The following is an 18,953-nucleotide window of genomic DNA, read 5'->3' on the forward strand; positions in this document are numbered from 1 at the left end:
CCCTCAGGAGCAACAACCTAGCATCTCAGGAGAGAGAGGCCACACCACTGTCCGCGTAGTCGCCCAGCTGGGGGCGGGGGACAGCCTGGCAGCCCTGTGGCACCCTCAGGAGCAACAACCTAGCATCTCAGGAGAGAGAGGCCACACCACTGTCCGCGTAGTCGCCCAGCTGGGGGCGGGGGACAGCCTGACAGCCCTGTGGCACCCTCAGGAGCAACAACCTAGCATCTCAGGAGAGAGAGGCCACACCACTGTCCGCGTAGTCGCCCAGCTGGGGGCGGGGGACAGCCTGGCAGCCCTGTGGCACCCTCAGGAGCAACAACCTAGCATCTCAGGAGAGAGAGGCCACACCACTGTCCGCGTAGTCGCCCAGCTGGGGGCGGGGGACAGCCTGACAGCCCTGTGGCACCCTCAGGAGCAACAACCTAGCATCTCAGGAGAGAGAGGCCACACCACTGTCCGCGTAGTCGCCCAGCTGGGGGCGGGGGACAGCCTGACAGCCCTGTGGCACCCTCAGGAGCAACAACCTAGCATCTCAGGAGAGAGAGGCCACACCACTGTCCGCGTAGTCGCCCAGCTGGGGGCGGGGGACAGCCTGGCAGCCCTGTGGCACCCTCAGGAGCAACAACCTAGCATCTCAGGAGAGAGAGGCCACACCACTGTCCGCGTAGTCGCCCAGCTGGGGGCGGGGGACAGCCTGGCAGCCCCGTGGCACCCTCAGGAGCAACAACCTAGCATCTCAGGAGAGAGAGGCCACACCACTGTCCGCGTAGTCGCCCAGCTGGGGGCGGGGGACAGCCTGGCAGCCCCGTGGCACCCTCAGGAGCAACAACCTAGCATCTCAGGAGAGAGAGGCCACACCACTGTCCGCGTAGTCGCCCAGCTGGGGGCGGGGGACAGCCTGGCAGCCCCGTGGCACCCTCAGGAGCAACAACCTAGCATCTCAGGAGAGAGAGGCCACACCACTGTCCGCGTAGTCGCCCAGCTGGGGGCGGGGGACAGCCTGGCAGCCCTGTGGCACCCTCAGGAGCAACAACCTAGCATCTCAGGAGAGAGAGGCCACACCACTGTCCGCGTAGTCGCCCAGCTGGGGGCGGGGGACAGCCTGGCAGCCCTGTGGCACCCTCAGGAGCAACAACCTAGCATCTCAGGAGAGAGAGGCCACACCACTGTCCGCGTAGTCGCCCAGCTGGGGGCGGGGGACAGCCTGGCAGCCCCGTGGCACCCTCAGGAGCAACAACCTAGCATCTCAGGAGAGAGAGGCCACACCACTGTCCGCGTAGTCGCCCAGCTGGGGGCGGGGGACAGCCTGGCAGCCCCGTGGCACCCTCAGGAGCAACAACCTAGCATCTCAGGAGAGAGAGGCCACACCACTGTCCGCGTAGTCGCCCAGCTGGGGGCGGGGGACAGCCTGGCAGCCCCGTGGCACCCTCAGGAGCAACAACCTAGCATCTCAGGAGAGAGAGGCCACACCACTGTCCGCGTAGTCGCCCAGCTGGGGGCGGGGGACAGCCTGGCAGCCCTGTGGCACCCTCAGGAGCAACAACCTAGCATCTCAGGAGAGAGAGGCCACACCACTGTCCGCGTAGTCGCCCAGCTGGGGGCGGGGGACAGCCTGGCAGCCCCGTGGCACCCTCAGGAGCAACAACCTAGCATCTCAGGAGAGAGAGGCCACACCACTGTCCGCGTAGTCGCCCAGCTGGGGGCGGGGGACAGCCTGGCAGCCCTGTGGCACCCTCAGGAGCAACAACCTAGCATCTCAGGAGAGAGAGGCCACACCACTGTCCGCGTAGTCGCCCAGCTGGGGGCGGGGGACAGCCTGACAGCCCTGTGGCACCCTCAGGAGCAACAACCTAGCATCTCAGGAGAGAGAGGCCACACCACTGTCCGCGTAGTCGCCCAGCTGGGGGCGGGGGACAGCCTGGCAGCCCCGTGGCACCCTCAGGAGCAACAACCTAGCATCTCAGGAGAGAGAGGCCACACCACTGTCCGCGTAGTCGCCCAGCTGGGGGCGGGGGACAGCCTGGCAGCCCCGTGGCACCCTCAGGAGCAACAACCTAGCATCTCAGGAGAGAGAGGCCACACCACTGTCCGCGTAGTCGCCCAGCTGGGGGCGGGGGACAGCCTGACAGCCCTGTGGCACCCTCAGGAGCAACAACCTAGCATCTCAGGAGAGAGAGGCCACACCACTGTCCGCGTAGTCGCCCAGCTGGGGGCGGGGGACAGCCTGGCAGCCCTGTGGCACCCTCAGGAGCAACAACCTAGCATCTCAGGAGAGAGAGGCCACACCACTGTCCGCGTAGTCGCCCAGCTGGGGGCGGGGGACAGCCTGACAGCCCTGTGGCACCCTCAGGAGCAACAACCTAGCATCTCAGGAGAGAGAGGCCACACCACTATCCGCGTAGTCGCCCAGCTGGGGGCGGGGGACAGCCTGGCAGCCCTGTGGCACCCTCAGGAGCAACAACCTAGCATCTCAGGAGAGAGAGGCCACACCACTGTCCGCGTAGTCGCCCAGCTGGGGGCGGGGGACAGCCTGGCAGCCCTGTGGCACCCTCAGGAGCAACAACCTAGCATCTCAGGAGAGAGAGGCCACACCACTGTCCGCGTAGTCGCCCAGCTGGGGGCGGGGGACAGCCTGGCAGCCCTGTGGCACCCTCAGGAGCAACAACCTAGCATCTCAGGAGAGAGAGGCCACACCACTGTCCGCGTAGTCGCCCAGCTGGGGGCGGGGGACAGCCTGGCAGCCCTGTGGCACCCTCAGGAGCAACAACCTAGCATCTCAGGAGAGAGAGGCCACACCACTGTCCGCGTAGTCGCCCAGCTGGGGGCGGGGGACAGCCTGACAGCCCTGTGGCACCCTCAGGAGCAACAACCTAGCATCTCAGGAGAGAGAGGCCACACCACTATCCGCGTAGTCGCCCAGCTGGGGGCGGGGGACAGCCTGGCAGCCCTGTGGCACCCTCAGGAGCAACAACCTAGCATCTCAGGAGAGAGAGGCCACACCACTGTCCGCGTAGTCGCCCAGCTGGGGGCGGGGGACAGCCTGGCAGCCCTGTGGCACCCTCAGGAGCAACAACCTAGCATCTCAGGAGAGAGAGGCCACACCACTGTCCGCGTAGTCGCCCAGCTGGGGGCGGGGGACAGCCTGACAGCCCTGTGGCACCCTCAGGAGCAACAACCTAGCATCTCAGGAGAGAGAGGCCACACCACTATCCGCGTAGTCGCCCAGCTGGGGGCGGGGGACAGCCTGGCAGCCCTGTGGCACCCTCAGGAGCAACAACCTAGCATCTCAGGAGAGAGAGGCCACACCACTGTCCGCGTAGTCGCCCAGCTGGGGGCGGGGGACAGCCTGGCAGCCCTGTGGCACCCTCAGGAGCAACAACCTAGCATCTCAGGAGAGAGAGGCCACACCACTGTCCGCGTAGTCGCCCAGCTGGGGGCGGGGGACAGCCTGGCAGCCCTGTGGCACCCTCAGGAGCAACAACCTAGCATCTCAGGAGAGAGAGGCCACACCACTGTCCGCGTAGTCGCCCAGCTGGGGGCGGGGGACAGCCTGACAGCCCTGTGGCACCCTCAGGAGCAACAACCTAGCATCTCAGGAGAGAGAGGCCACACCACTGTCCGCGTAGTCGCCCAGCTGGGGGCGGGGGACAGCCTGGCAGCCCCGTGGCACCCTCAGGAGCAACAACCTAGCATCTCAGGAGAGAGAGGCCACACCACTGTCCGCGTAGTCGCCCAGCTGGGGGCGGGGGACAGCCTGGCAGCCCCGTGGCACCCTCAGGAGCAACAACCTAGCATCTCAGGAGAGAGAGGCCACACCACTGTCCGCGTAGTCGCCCAGCTGGGGGCGGGGGACAGCCTGACAGCCCTGTGGCACCCTCAGGAGCAACAACCTAGCATCTCAGGAGAGAGAGGCCACACCACTGTCCGCGTAGTCGCCCAGCTGGGGGCGGGGGACAGCCTGGCAGCCCTGTGGCACCCTCAGGAGCAACAACCTAGCATCTCAGGAGAGAGAGGCCACACCACTGTCCGCGTAGTCGCCCAGCTGGGGGCGGGGGACAGCCTGACAGCCCTGTGGCACCCTCAGGAGCCACAACCTAGCATCTCAGGAGAGAGAGGCCACACCACTGTCCGCGTAGTCGCCCAGCTGGGGGCGGGGGACAGCCTGACAGCCCTGTGGCACCCTCAGGAGCCACAACCTAGCATCTCAGGAGAAAAAGGCCACACCACTGTCCGCGTAGTCGCCCAGCTGGGGGCGGGGGACAGCCTGGCAGCCCTGTGGCACCCTCAGGAGCACAACCTAGCATCTCAGGAGAAAAAGGCCACACCACTGTCCGCGTAGTCGCCCAGCTGGGGGCGGGGGACAGCCTGGCAGCCCTGTGGCACCCTCAGGAGCGACAACCTAGCATCTCAGGAGAGAGAGGCCACACCACTGTCCGCGTAGTCGCCCAGCTGGGGGCGGGGGACAGCCTGGCAGCCCTGTGGCACCCTCAGGAGCAACAACCTAGCATCTCAGGAGAGAGAGGCCACACCACTGTCCGCGTAGTCGCCCAGCTGGGGGCGGGGGACAGCCTGGCAGCCCTGTGGCACCCTCAGGAGCAACAACCTAGCATCTCAGGAGAGAGAGGCCACACCACTGTCCGCGTAGTCGCCCAGCTGGGGGCGGGGGACAGCCTGGCAGCCCTGTGGCACCCTCAGGAGCAACAACCTAGCATCTCAGGAGAGAGAGGCCACACCACTGTCCGCGTAGTCGCCCAGCTGGGGGCGGGGGACAGCCTGGCAGCCCCGTGGCACCCTCAGGAGCAACAACCTAGCATCTCAGGAGAGAGAGGCCACACCACTGTCCGCGTAGTCGCCCAGCTGGGGGCGGGGGACAGCCTGACAGCCCTGTGGCACCCTCAGGAGCAACAACCTAGCATCTCAGGAGAGAGAGGCCACACCACTGTCCGCGTAGTCGCCCAGCTGGGGGCGGGGGACAGCCTGACAGCCCTGTGGCACCCTCAGGAGCAACAACCTAGCATCTCAGGAGAGAGAGGCCACACCACTGTCCGCGTAGTCGCCCAGCTGGGGGCGGGGGACAGCCTGGCAGCCCTGTGGCACCCTCAGGAGCAACAACCTAGCATCTCAGGAGAGAGAGGCCACACCACTGTCCGCGTAGTCGCCCAGCTGGGGGCGGGGGACAGCCTGGCAGCCCTGTGGCACCCTCAGGAGCAACAACCTAGCATCTCAGGAGAGAGAGGCCACACCACTGTCCGCGTAGTCGCCCAGCTGGGGGCGGGGGACAGCCTGACAGCCCTGTGGCACCCTCAGGAGCAACAACCTAGCATCTCAGGAGAGAGAGGCCACACCACTATCCGCGTAGTCGCCCAGCTGGGGGCGGGGGACAGCCTGGCAGCCCTGTGGCACCCTCAGGAGCAACAACCTAGCATCTCAGGAGAGAGAGGCCACACCACTGTCCGCGTAGTCGCCCAGCTGGGGGCGGGGGACAGCCTGGCAGCCCTGTGGCACCCTCAGGAGCAACAACCTAGCATCTCAGGAGAGAGAGGCCACACCACTGTCCGCGTAGTCGCCCAGCTGGGGGCGGGGGACAGCCTGGCAGCCCCGTGGCACCCTCAGGAGCAACAACCTAGCATCTCAGGAGAGAGAGGCCACACCACTGTCCGCGTAGTCGCCCAGCTGGGGGCGGGGGACAGCCTGGCAGCCCTGTGGCACCCTCAGGAGCAACAACCTAGCATCTCAGGAGAGAGAGGCCACACCACTGTCCGCGTAGTCGCCCAGCTGGGGGCGGGGGACAGCCTGGCAGCCCTGTGGCACCCTCAGGAGCAACAACCTAGCATCTCAGGAGAGAGAGGCCACACCACTATCCGCGTAGTCGCCCAGCTGGGGGCGGGGGACAGCCTGGCAGCCCTGTGGCACCCTCAGGAGCAACAACCTAGCATCTCAGGAGAGAGAGGCCACACCACTATCCGCGTAGTCGCCCAGCTGGGGGCGGGGGACAGCCTGGCAGCCCTGTGGCACCCTCAGGAGCAACAACCTAGCATCTCAGGAGAGAGAGGCCACACCACTGTCCGCGTAGTCGCCCAGCTGGGGGCGGGGGACAGCCTGGCAGCCCTGTGGCACCCTCAGGAGCAACAACCTAGCATCTCAGGAGAGAGAGGCCACACCACTGTCCGCGTAGTCGCCCAGCTGGGGGCGGGGGACAGCCTGGCAGCCCTGTGGCACCCTCAGGAGCAACAACCTAGCATCTCAGGAGAGAGAGGCCACACCACTGTCCGCGTAGTCGCCCAGCTGGGGGCGGGGGACAGCCTGGCAGCCCTGTGGCACCCTCAGGAGCAACAACCTAGCATCTCAGGAGAGAGAGGCCACACCACTATCCGCGTAGTCGCCCAGCTGGGGGCGGGGGACAGCCTGGCAGCCCTGTGGCACCCTCAGGAGCAACAACCTAGCATCTCAGGAGAGAGAGGCCACACCACTGTCCGCGTAGTCGCCCAGCTGGGGGCGGGGGACAGCCTGGCAGCCCCGTGGCACCCTCAGGAGCAACAACCTAGCATCTCAGGAGAGAGAGGCCACACCACTGTCCGCGTAGTCGCCCAGCTGGGGGCGGGGGACAGCCTGGCAGCCCTGTGGCACCCTCAGGAGCAACAACCTAGCATCTCAGGAGAGAGAGGCCACACCACTGTCCGCGTAGTCGCCCAGCTGGGGGCGGGGGACAGCCTGGCAGCCCTGTGGCACCCTCAGGAGCAACAACCTAGCATCTCAGGAGAGAGAGGCCACACCACTGTCCGCGTAGTCGCCCAGCTGGGGGCGGGGGACAGCCTGGCAGCCCCGTGGCACCCTCAGGAGCAACAACCTAGCATCTCAGGAGAGAGAGGCCACACCACTGTCCGCGTAGTCGCCCAGCTGGGGGCGGGGGACAGCCTGACAGCCCTGTGGCACCCTCAGGAGCAACAACCTAGCATCTCAGGAGAGAGAGGCCACACCACTGTCCGCGTAGTCGCCCAGCTGGGGGCGGGGGACAGCCTGACAGCCCTGTGGCACCCTCAGGAGCAACAACCTAGCATCTCAGGAGAGAGAGGCCACACCACTGTCCGCGTAGTCGCCCAGCTGGGGGCGGGGGACAGCCTGGCAGCCCTGTGGCACCCTCAGGAGCAACAACCTAGCATCTCAGGAGAGAGAGGCCACACCACTGTCCGCGTAGTCGCCCAGCTGGGGGCGGGGGACAGCCTGGCAGCCCTGTGGCACCCTCAGGAGCAACAACCTAGCATCTCAGGAGAGAGAGGCCACACCACTGTCCGCGTAGTCGCCCAGCTGGGGGCGGGGGACAGCCTGGCAGCCCTGTGGCACCCTCAGGAGCAACAACCTAGCATCTCAGGAGAGAGAGGCCACACCACTGTCCGCGTAGTCGCCCAGCTGGGGGCGGGGGACAGCCTGGCAGCCCTGTGGCACCCTCAGGAGCAACAACCTAGCATCTCAGGAGAGAGAGGCCACACCACTGTCCGCGTAGTCGCCCAGCTGGGGGCGGGGGACAGCCTGGCAGCCCTGTGGCACCCTCAGGAGCAACAACCTAGCATCTCAGGAGAGAGAGGCCACACCACTGTCCGCGTAGTCGCCCAGCTGGGGGCGGGGGACAGCCTGGCAGCCCTGTGGCACCCTCAGGAGCAACAACCTAGCATCTCAGGAGAGAGAGGCCACACCACTGTCCGCGTAGTCGCCCAGCTGGGGGCGGGGGACAGCCTGGCAGCCCTGTGGCACCCTCAGGAGCAACAACCTAGCATCTCAGGAGAGAGAGGCCACACCACTGTCCGCGTAGTCGCCCAGCTGGGGGCGGGGGACAGCCTGACAGCCCTGTGGCACCCTCAGGAGCAACAACCTAGCATCTCAGGAGAGAGAGGCCACACCACTGTCCGCGTAGTCGCCCAGCTGGGGGCGGGGGACAGCCTGGCAGCCCTGTGGCACCCTCAGGAGCAACAACCTAGCATCTCAGGAGAGAGAGGCCACACCACTATCCGCGTAGTCGCCCAGCTGGGGGCGGGGGACAGCCTGGCAGCCCTGTGGCACCCTCAGGAGCAACAACCTAGCATCTCAGGAGAGAGAGGCCACACCACTGTCCGCGTAGTCGCCCAGCTGGGGGCGGGGGACAGCCTGACAGCCCTGTGGCACCCTCAGGAGCAACAACCTAGCATCTCAGGAGAGAGAGGCCACACCACTATCCGCGTAGTCGCCCAGCTGGGGGCGGGGGACAGCCTGGCAGCCCTGTGGCACCCTCAGGAGCAACAACCTAGCATCTCAGGAGAGAGAGGCCACACCACTATCCGCGTAGTCGCCCAGCTGGGGGCGGGGGACAGCCTGGCAGCCCTGTGGCACCCTCAGGAGCAACAACCTAGCATCTCAGGAGAGAGAGGCCACACCACTGTCCGCGTCAGAAGCCGGGCCCCACGAGACCACGGGCAGGGATGCCCATGCAGCCGCACCCCAGAAGTAGGCAACCTGGGGTCAAGGCCGCTCTGCCCTGAGAGTTCTGCCCCTTATGCCAGGACACGCAGAGGCCAACGGGGCAGCCAGGAGGTCCTGGAGGGCTGAGGACCCCGGTGGGCCAGGCCAGAGTCAGCCCCGGGAGGCTGGAGGCAGCTCTCAGTGCTCTGCAAACATACGGCCCAGCCCACCAGCACTCAGGAGTCAGGAAAGTGTGAGGCCAGGACCCAGACCAGCATCCCCCAGGCAGGCAGGGCCCGCTGTACCTGCTCCGCAGAGGCCCGAGGGGCGCCGGCCTGTGTGCATCCAGTCCCGCTTCATCCTCTGTAGGAGCCTCAGGGCAGTCATGGACACCTCGTGGTTCTTCTCCCCGAATTCCAGCAGGTGCGCAAAGCGTGGAATATACAGGCACGGGTCTGCGGCAGACACAGCACCTCAGTGCCCACCTCCATGTGCCATGGCACGTGCACAGGCGGCCCACGCAGCCCAGGGGTGGGGCAACCTGCACTTGTCTTTCCAGGCCCCCAGGCCCCCCACCAGTTCCCCTCCCCTGGACAAAGCCTCTCTGACCCTCAGCTAGGGCAGCCATCGCACCGAACCCAGGAGAGCCACTGGCCACCTGCTGCCAGCCAGCCTGCTGCAGACACGCTAGGGCCAGGCAGCGTGCTCCTACTGCATGGCCGCCCTGCTCAGGACACAGAGGGGCGCACACCCAGCAGCCTTCCCTCCAGACCATGCAGACAGCACCACACGCAACAACGGTCCGGGGACTCTTAGAGCAAGACAGGCGTGGGCTGGGTACACAAGTCGCCAGCCGGCCGGCATCAGCTGACACTCATGGGTGAGAGGAGGGCCCACTTCTGGCATCTCTACCAGCATGGCGGTGCCACGGGGGCTGTGTGTGCACACTGAGGCCTGGCGCTGTGCACCTCTGCCAGCACGGCACAGTGCCACGGGGGAGTGCCTGGAGCAGGACAGGCTGGGCGCTGCACAGCCTGGGCCCTGAGCGACTGCATGGACCTAAGCAGCGCTCCCCTATGCCGAGCATGAGGCCGGGATGTGACTCCACAGGGCCCTGCTGTGCCCCACCAGGCTCAGGTGGCTATGACTTGCATCCATTCATACTCACGACGCAGCCCCCCTTTCCAGCTGAGGGTGTCCATAACACGAAGGATAAATGCTTGAGGTGAAAGATGTCCCATTTACCCTGATGTGACTGTTACACACTGCATGAACGCATCAAGACACCTCACATGCCCCAAAATACACGCACCCGCTGTGCACCCACAACTAAAGATAAAAACCAATGATTTGTGGTGATTTGGCTGCTAAAATAGATATTATTTGGAGAAAAAAATTAGATAATTTAAAACAATTGCTAAGATTTTTAATGATTTTCAATAAGATACAATCATCGCAGCTAGAAATAAAGAGAACGATAAAAAATATGCTCATAGGCTGGGCGCGGTGGCTCACACCTCTAATCCCAGCACTTTGGGGGCCGAGGCGGGCGGATCACCTGAGGTCCGCAGTTCGAGACCGGCCTGACCAACATGGAGAAACCCCATCTTTACTAAAAATACAAAATTTGCAGGGCGTGGTGGTGCATGCCTCTAGTCCCAGCTACTCAAGAGGCTGAGGCTGGAGAATTGCTTGAACCAGGGAGGTGGAGGTTTTGGTGAGCTGAGATCGCAGCATTGCACTCCAGCCTGGGCAACAAGAGCGAAGTTCTGACTCAAAAAAAAAAAAAAAAAAAAAAAAAAAAAGATACGCTTATAGACTGGGCAATACAGAGACGAAGTCTATACAAAAGTTTTTGAAAAAAATTTGGCCGGGGCCAGGTGCTGCGGCTTACGCCTGTAATCCCAACACTTTGGGAGATTAGGGCGGGTGGATGACCTGAGCTCAGGAGATCGAGACCACCCTGGGCAACATGGTGAAACCCCGTCTCAACTAAAATACAAAAAATGAGCTGGGCGTGGTGGTGCACGCCTGTAATCCCACCTACTTGGGAGGCTGAGGCAGGAGAATCGCTTGAACCTAGGAGGCGGAGATTGCAGTGAGCCAAGATCATGCCACTGCACTCCAGCCTGGATGACAGAGTGAGACTCTGTCTCAAAAAACAAACAAACAAACAAACAAAAAAATTAGTGGGTGTGAGGCTGGGTGTGGTGGCTCACATCTGTAATCCCAGAATTTTGGGAGGCCAAGGCAGGTGGATTGCCTGAGCTTAGGAGTTCGAGACCACCCTGGACACCATAGTGAAACCCAGTCTTTACTAAAATACAAAAAAAAAAAAAAATTAGCCGGGTGTGGTGGCGGGCACCTATAGTCCCAGATACTTGAAAGGCTGAGACTACAGCATTGCTTGAAGCTGGGAGGTGGAGGTTATAGTGAGCCAAGATCATGCCACTGCACTCCAGCCTGGGCGACAGAGCAGCAAGACTCTGTCTCTTAAAAAAAAAAAAATAAAAATAAAAAATTAGTGGGTGTGGTCTAGTCCCAGCTACTGAGGAGGCTGAGGCAGTAGGATCACTTGAGCCCGGGAGGTTGAGGCTGCAGTGAGCTGTGATTGCACCACTGTACTCAGGCCTGGGCAACAGAAAAAAAAAAAGAGAGAGAAAGAAAAAGATGTACTAATGTGGGTGAGACTTTGATGCTCATTAATTATTGAAATAGAAAACTCATTTCAAAAACACTGGTAAATATATCAACGGCTGGGCACAGTGGCTCACACCTGTAATCCCAGCACTTTGGGAGGCCGAGGAGGGTGGATCACCTGACGTCAGGAATTCAAGACCAGCCTGGCCAATATAGTGAAACCCCATCTCTACTAAAGATACAAAAATTAGCTGGGGGTGGTGGTGTGCGCCTGTAGTCATCCCAGGTACTAAGGAGGCTGAAACAGGAGAATTTGCTTGAACCCGGGAGGTGGAGGTTGCAATGAACCAAGACTGCGCCACTGTACTCCAGCCTAGGCGACAGAGCGAGACTCCATCTCAAACAAACAAACAAAAAATTCAAGACAAGCCAGGCAGAGTGGCTCATACCTACATTCCTAGCTACTTGGAAGGCCGAGGTGGGAGGATTGCTTGAGCCCGGGAGTTCGAGGTCAGCCTGGGAAACACAGCAAGACCCCATCTCTTAAAACAAAAATCTGGGGCCGGATGCAGTGGCTCACACCTGTGAGTCCCAGAACTTTGGGAGGCCAAGGCAGGAGGATCGCTTGAGCCCAGGAGTTTGAAACCAGCCTAGGCAATATAGTGAGACCCCCATCTTTACAAAAAATGAAAAATTTAGCCTAGTGTAGTGATGCATACCTGTTGTCTCAGCTACTTGGGAGGCTGAGGTGGGAGGATTGCTTGAGTCCAGGAGGTCGGGGCTGCATTGAGCCATGACCTTGCCACTGCATTCTAGCCTAGGTGACTGACACCATGTCTCAAAACAAAAAACAAAAAAGACAAGCAAAAAGTGTTTTTTTCAAGACAAATCTGTCAGTGACTAGGGTGGAGGAGGAAGTGGTGGGCAGCGGCGGCACGGTGGGCAAACGCGGAGTGGCAGAGCGGCACGGGACAGGCATGGCATTTCATCATGGAAAGGAACCCATGTCAAGCAGCCTGGAATCTGCAGGCGCACAGCGACAGAGGAAGAATTAAATGAAGGAAAAACACTGGAAACAACCTTCAAAACCACAATAATAGGGGATTTTAACATGGTTCTCTGAAATTTGACAGACTGATTAGGAAAAAAAAGACTAAGGGACGACTTAAGACACATCACCATAGACTCAATCTGACAAGGATGTTCTAAATTCTGTACCCCATGGAGTCATCATGCTTCTCCAGTGTCTGTGGGACAGTTATGAAAATGACCAGGTATGATAGAACAAAGAAACCCTCAATATATTTCAGGTAACAGCACATAGGACATGCCATTTGACCCCAAGTGCAAAAAAAAAAAAACTAAAAATGAGCAAAAACAAGTAGTCCCCTCACCTCCAAACGCTGTTAGAAATTAAAGTTCAATCCTTCAGGTAACTTTATTAACTCAAGCGCTTTGTGTATTTAAGGCAGCAATGGGTCAGGCGTGGTGGCTCACACCTGTAATCCTAGCACTTTGGGAGGCCGAGGCAGGTGGATTGCCTGAGCTCAGAAGTTTGAAACCAGCCCGGGCAACACAGCGAAACCCCGTCTCTACTAAAAAATACAAAAAATTAGCCGGGCATGGTGGCAAGTGCCTGTAATCCCAGCTACTCAGGAGACTGAGACAGGAGAATCACTTGAACCTGGGAGGTGGAGGTTGCAGTGAGCTGAGATCGTGCCACTGCACTCCAGCCTGAGTGACAGAGCAAGACTCCATCTCAAAAAAAATAAATAAATAAATAAAGGAAGCAATGAAATTAATGAACTAAAATAACAGAAAACTAAAAATTAACAAAATTAATTATTTAAAGTAGGCAAAGGGACTAATAAGAAAAAGAAGCAAATAAATTACCACTGTCAAGAAAAGAATTAAAAAGTCCAACAGCCAGTATGGTGCTGACATAAAGACAGACCTACAGACCAACAGAACAGAACAGGACAGGACAGGACAGGACAGGACAGCACAGGGCCAGAAATGACAATGACAGACAGATGACCTTCAACAAGGGTGACAAGAACTTCTTGCACAATGGGGAAAGGATGGTCTCTTCAATATGCAGCGCTGGGAAAACTGGATATCCACTTGCAAATAAAGATAGACCCTTACCTTACATCATACACAAAAACTAACTCAAAACCGATGCAAGACCCAAACACAGACTTGAAACTGTAAAACCCTTAGAAGAAAACAAAGGGAAAGACTTCACGACATTGGTCTTGGCAATGATTTCTTGAACATGACACCAACAGCAAGGGCAACGAAAGTAAAAATAGACAAATGGGATGACCTCAAACTAAAAAGTTTCTGCACAGCAAAGGAATCTATTAACAGAAATGATATCCTATAGAATGGAAGAGACTATGTGCAAACCATCTATCTCATAAGGGGTTAACAGCCTGAATATACAAAAAACTCCAACTCAGGAACAAAATCGATTAAAAATGGGCAAACTGCACTTTTGTAATCCCAGCTCTTTGGGAGGCTGAGGCACAAGAATCGCTTGAACCTGGAAGGCGGATGTTGCAGTGCACCCTCACCACCGCACTCCAGCCTGGGCAACGGAGTAAGACTCTGTCTCAAAAAAAAAAGGCAAAGCCCTTGAACAGACGTTTCTCCAAACACGCCATGCAAATAGCCAACAAGCACATGAGTAGATGGTCAACATCATTATTTATCAGGGACATGCAAATCAAAACCACATGACACTACCTCATGTCCATTAGGATGACCATTATCACAAACAAAAAAGAATAGGCTGGGCGCGGTGGCTCACACCTGTAATCCCAGCACTTTGGGAGGCCTAGGCAGGTAGATCACTTGAGGCCAGGAGTTTAAGACCAGCCTGGTCAACGGAGTCTCGCTCTGTCATCCAGGCTGGAGTGCAGTAGCATGATCTCAGCTCACTGCAACCTCCGCCTCCCTGGTTCGAGCCATTCTCCTTCCTTGGCCTCCCGAATAGCTGGGATTACAGGTGCCCGTTAATTTTTGTATTTTTAGTAGAGATGGGGTTTCACCATGTTGGCCAGGCTGGTCTCAAACTCCTGACCTCAAGTGATCCGCCCACCTTGGCCTCCCAAAGTGCTGGGATTACAGGCGTGAGCCACCGCGCCCAACCTACACTGTAACATATTTAAAAATCAAAGTGCAAAGGGTGGTTTCTTTCTAAGGATGAAAATTATTATTCACATGCTCCACACCACCATGCAGATCAAGACGCTGACTACCTCTGGCGGCTCAGCAATTCTATCCTGGCACCCCCGGAGACAGCTGTCGCCCAGGTCTTGTGTGCTGCTGTAAGTTATTCCTTCTCACTGCATTCCCCAAATGGACCCACCACAACCTGCTGATCCTTTCTGTTGCTGATGGACATGTAGGCTGTCTCCACTCTGGCCATTTGTATTTCTCCTGGAAACTGCTTATGCCCGTTACCTTTTTCTATGGAAACAGACGGCTGGGACAGAAACCACGGCCACAGCAGCCAGCGTGTCTTTGCCAGTGGGGTCCCACACTATGAAATCGCAGCTGTGGCCTCGGTGGGTGTGTCCTTGGCGGGTGCATCCACACACTTTCTCTCGGAACTTTCCGGACTCTCATGCATATGCTACAGCTTTCCAAACGGCTTGGCCGTGCGGAGTTACGCACCCACCTGCAGCAGGTGATCTCCAGCTGCTCTGCATTCCACCAACACTACGTGACAAGTCTCAAGTTCAGCCGCCTGGGGGCTCGGGCACCCCATTCCTGGGAGAAATGATGATTTGTGCACTCTGGGCCATTGCATGGTGTCTGTTCACGTCCTTTGCCCGTTTTTTAAAAAACTGGGTTGTCAGCCTTTTCCTTCCTGACTTGTAGTTGCTCCTCCATCCTGGAGAGTCCTTTGTTGAAAATACCGCAAATATCTTCTGAAGAGGACTCTCCCAGGGAACATTCACTACAACTGTAACGACCACAGAGACACAGAGCTCCTGTTCACTGTTTAGCCCAGGACTGCGGTGACAGGTGCACCCATGACCCGAGATGCTGGCTGCGTCCTGTGGGGTTTCCTGCATATGGAAGTTTTAAAAGTCTAAAGCCTGGCGGTCCAGGAGGTTGCGTGTGTGTCCTCGGGGAGGAACCCTCCTGACAGCCAGGCCTCTGGAGCTTCGTCTGCACGCGAGCTTGGCATGCACCAGCTGTGCGGCCCAGGCCAGGTGACACGGCCTCTGAAGTCTGGTCTCCTCATCAGCAAAGCCAGTGCCCCATGCCACGCACCTCCCAGGATTAGCCCCAGGCCGGGAGGCTAGAGGCCCCACAAGGAGCGAGCCTGCGACTGCGATCCACAGGCAGAGCCACAGAGGCAGGGCGCGCCCTGGGGCCCAAGCTCCAGGGCTGCAGGCCCAGGGCCAGATCCTGACTTGCCCACCCGCCGGCTGTGTGACCTTCAGCGCGCGACTAACCTCTCTGTGCCTATTTCCTCGAGGAAAATGCCGGGAAATAGCAGCGCCTGCCCCTGTAAAGCCCTCAGAGCAGAGTGGACCGCGCTCTCTGCAAGCGCTGGCTGCTGGCGTCCGTAGCAAGCTAAATCGCGAAGCATCTGAACGAACGAGGAAGCCCAACGACCATCCCACAGGCCGCGGCCAGAGGCAGACTCCGGAATGCAAATGGCCAAACAAGCAGGTCCACCTGCGTTCCTAACCAAAAGATCGCTAACTGAAGAACGGGCGCAAGCACCTGCGCATGGCACTGCGGGTCTGGGGGCGGCCGCCTGCCAGCGCCGGGAGCCGCCTTCCACGGCTACCTCTGCACAGCGCGCGGCTCGCGCCGGTTGCTGGGCAGAAGCTCGAGCAGCTTCGAGGATGTCGGGCCTGGGGGCGGGGCCGCGAGGCAGCGACGTCGCGCGGGGCGCGGCCCTGACGCAGCGTGACGCACCGGCGCCGCGGCGGGTACGGGCTCGGGCGGGCGGGCGGGCGGGACGGCGCCCCCCGCGGCCGGGCCTGGCCGGGCTGCGCTAGGCTGGGCTCGGGCAGGGTCGCAGGGGCGGGGGTGGCAGGGGAGCGGGTGGCAGCCCCGCGGGTCACAGCGCCGCCGCCGCCCATGCTGCTGCCCCTAGCCTGCCTGCACGGCCGCGTCGCTCAGTGCCTGACCTCCTTGCTTTTGCTTGCAGAGCCGCTCCCGAGGCCCCGGCGCGGCGCGAGGGCGCGGGGCGCGGCGTCCACAGGCGCCGAGGCTGCCCCCGCCGCCCCGCCCGCGAAGATGGCGGCGGAACTCTACGCTCCCGCCAGCGCCGCGGCCGCGGACCTAGCCAACAGCAACGCCGGCGCCGCCGTGGGCAGGAAGGCCGGGCCGCGCAGCCCGCCCAGCGCCCCCGCGCCAGCGCCGCCGCCGCCCGCGCCCGCGCCGCCCACACTCGGCAACAACCACCAGGAGAGCCCCGGCTGGCGGTGCTGCCGCCCCACGCTGCGCGAGAGGTGAGCCCGTGCCCCGCGGCCCCCGCGCCCGCGCGCGCCCACGCCCCCAGCCCGTGCCTCTACCTTTGCAGGAACGCGCTCATGTTCAACAACGAGCTCATGGCCGACGTGCACTTCGTCGTGGGGCCCCCGGGGGCGACCAGGACGGTGCCCGCCCACAAGGTGGGTAGCGGCGGCCCCTCTCGGAACGCGTGCCCCGTCCGCCCCGTCCGCCGTGTGGCTGACACGCAGCCTGCGGGAGAGCCAGGCTCACGGCGGCGCTTTCTCCTCCCAGTACGTCTTGGCTGTCGGCAGCTCCGTCTTCTATGCCATGTTCTACGGAGACCTGGCGGAAGTCAAATCTGAAATTCACATTCCAGACGTGGAGCCCGCAGCCTTTCTGATCCTCTTAAAGTAAGTCCACTCTACTGGGGAGGGACGGGTGGGTCCGTTTTAGGCGGCCTCCGGAGGCTTCTGAAGGGAAGCACACAGGAGCTGATGGACTCCTCTCCCAGGCCCAGCCCCGCGATGGGTGCTTGGGAGCCAGCCCCTGACGCGGGCCCTGCCTCGCCTAGGTACATGTACAGTGATGAGATCGATCTGGAAGCCGACACGGTGCTGGCCACTCTGTACGCTGCTAAGAAGTACATCGTCCCAGCATTGGCAAAAGCCTGTGTCAACTTTCTGGAGACAAGTTTGGAAGCCAAGAACGCCTGCGTCCTGCTGTCCCAGAGCCGGCTGTTTGAGGAGCCCGAGCTGACGCAGCGCTGCTGGGAGGTCATTGACGCACAGGCCGAGATGGCCCTACGGTCCGAAGGCTTCTGTGAGATAGACCGGCAGACGCTGGAGATCATTGTCACTCGGGAGGCCCTCAACACCAAAGAGGCGGTGGTCTTCGAGGCCGTCCTGAACTGGGCCGAGGCGGAGTGCAAGAGGCAGGGGCTGCCAATCACCCCACGAAACAAGAGGCATGTTCTGGGGCGAGCCCTCTATCTGGTCCGAATTCCAACCATGACCCTAGAGGAGTTTGCCAACGGCGCTGCCCAGTCAGACATCCTGACTCTGGAGGAGACCCACAGCATCTTCCTGTGGTACACGGCCACCAACAAGCCCCGCCTGGACTTTCCCCTGACCAAGAGGAAGGGCCTCGCCCCGCAGAGGTGCCACCGATTCCAGTCTTCTGCCTACCGCAGCAACCAGTGGCGGTACCGCGGGCGCTGCGACAGCATCCAGTTTGCAGTGGACAGAAGGGTATTTATTGCAGGGCTGGGCCTGTATGGCTCCAGCTCTGGGAAGGCTGAGTACAGCGTGAAGATTGAGCTCAAGCGGCTCGGGGTGGTTCTGGCTCAGAACTTGACCAAGTTCATGTCAGACGGATCCAGTAACACCTTCCCGGTCTGGTTTGAACACCCGGTCCAGGTTGAACAAGACACCTTCTACACGGCCAGTGCCGTCCTGGACGGCAGCGAACTCAGCTACTTTGGGCAGGAGGGGATGACGGAAGTGCAGTGTGGAAAGGTGGCCTTCCAGTTCCAGTGCTCCTCGGACAGCACCAACGGGACTGGGGTCCAGGGTGGGCAGATCCCTGAGCTCATTTTCTATGCCTGAGGTGCCCGGGGAGGCTGCAGCAGGTCAGCGAGTGAGTGGAGGGGAAGTCAAGATGCTAACTGCTTCTTGACACCATGAAAGGCTGCTCTTAACTTTGTCTCTCTTTGACATGTAGTCAGCTGAAGCTTGACTGTGTAGAGACATTTTCCACACAGCCAGAACCCAGGGATTGGAGTCTTAGGCATCTCTGGTACAGTGGGGTGCACGTCTCAGGTGGAGGAAGATTTACGGCTCAAGACAGGCCCCAGATCCCCTCCCAGTGGCACCCATGCCACCTGCTTTGAGGGGTTGGATCTTCCTGCTACCCTCTTGGATTCTAAGTGGTTCCAAGCTTAACTTGAGACCTTCCCTTCAAATCTAAAATTGGCAAAAAGTCACTTAAAATAGTGGACTTCTGTAATAAAGGTTGCCTAAAATAACACCCACGTGTCAGTAAATGACTACAGCAGTTGTACAGTGGGGTATTCTCTTTCTCATGCAACAGAACAGCTCCCTCCCATCCCGAGGAGAAAACCTGTCATGCTGAACATGCTATGTGGTTAGGAGCAAACTGCGCCCCAGTGAAGCCCATCTGTCCCCTGGGTTGCTGGCTGGCTTCTGGGCCACCCTAGGAAACACCAGGTGCCTGGTTGTCTCTATGTCCTAATGCATCACTAGCACCTCAGAGTCCTACCCTATGAACAGACTGTCGGGGGAGCATTCTGCTGGGCCCAGCGTTCTGGACCCTGGGGACTGTCACTAGCTGTGACACTGCTGCGGGACAGCCTGTTGCAGGAGTGGACTATAGGGTGAAACAGGCTCTCCCAC

At 60.1% G+C, this 18,953-nt stretch overlaps 2 protein-coding genes across 21 annotated transcripts in view, besides 4 other annotated features; one reads left to right on the forward strand and one right to left on the reverse strand.

The window, feature by feature from the left end:
* The window catches only part of BRF1 (BRF1 general transcription factor IIIB subunit), a 106,304-nt gene that overhangs the window by 23,241 nt on the left and 64,110 nt on the right, over window positions 1-18,953 (reverse strand). For 7 of the 19 annotated variants that reach the window (NM_001242787.2, NM_001242786.2, NM_001242788.2 and 4 more), the window contains one exon: window positions 8,739-8,888. The exons of 4 other annotated variants lie outside the window; for them this stretch is intronic. In NM_001242787.2, the coding sequence (NP_001229716.1) occupies window positions 8,739-8,888 (150 nt within the window). 8 more of the 19 variants (NM_001440453.1, NM_001440452.1, NM_001440454.1 and 5 more) reach the window with 6 other exon arrangements.
* Window positions 15,633-16,423: an enhancer, noted in NCBI's record as "H3K27ac-H3K4me1 hESC enhancer chr14:105714496-105715286 (GRCh37/hg19 assembly coordinates)". NCBI's record gives its function as "activates a minimal SCP1, AML or CMV promoter by ChIP-STARR-seq in naive H9 embryonic stem cells {active_cell/tissue: H9 hESC(naive)}" and the evidence as "EXISTENCE:reporter gene assay evidence [ECO:0000049][PMID:30033119]".
* Window positions 15,799-16,358: a silencer, noted in NCBI's record as "silent region_6222". NCBI's record gives its function as "represses an Ori minimal core promoter by ATAC-STARR-seq in GM12878 lymphoblastoid cells {active_cell/tissue: GM12878}" and the evidence as "EXISTENCE:reporter gene assay evidence [ECO:0000049][PMID:35858748]".
* BTBD6 (BTB domain containing 6) lies at window positions 16,007-18,567 on the forward strand. Of its 2 annotated transcripts, NM_033271.3 has the most exons (5): window positions 16,007-16,034; window positions 16,256-16,559; window positions 16,631-16,721; window positions 16,834-16,952; window positions 17,114-18,567. In NM_033271.3, exons 2-5 carry the CDS (start codon window positions 16,345-16,347, stop codon window positions 18,144-18,146), a joined length of 1,458 nt encoding a protein of 485 aa, NP_150374.2. In that variant the 5' UTR covers window positions 16,007-16,034; window positions 16,256-16,344; the 3' UTR covers window positions 18,147-18,567. The 2 variants fall into 2 exon arrangements, with proteins under 2 accessions (NP_150374.2, NP_001374496.1); NM_001387567.1 differs by having other exon boundaries at window positions 16,007-16,559.
* Window positions 16,559-16,608: a silencer, noted in NCBI's record as "silent region_6223". NCBI's record gives its function as "represses an Ori minimal core promoter by ATAC-STARR-seq in GM12878 lymphoblastoid cells {active_cell/tissue: GM12878}" and the evidence as "EXISTENCE:reporter gene assay evidence [ECO:0000049][PMID:35858748]".
* Window positions 17,215-18,004: an enhancer, noted in NCBI's record as "H3K4me1 hESC enhancer chr14:105716078-105716867 (GRCh37/hg19 assembly coordinates)". NCBI's record gives its function as "activates a minimal SCP1, AML or CMV promoter by ChIP-STARR-seq in primed H9 embryonic stem cells {active_cell/tissue: H9 hESC(primed)}" and the evidence as "EXISTENCE:reporter gene assay evidence [ECO:0000049][PMID:30033119]".

Source organism: Homo sapiens, chromosome 14 (assembly GCF_000001405.40).
Source record: "Homo sapiens chromosome 14, GRCh38.p14 Primary Assembly".
In the NCBI taxonomy this organism is placed as follows: Eukaryota; Metazoa; Chordata; class Mammalia; order Primates; family Hominidae; genus Homo; species Homo sapiens.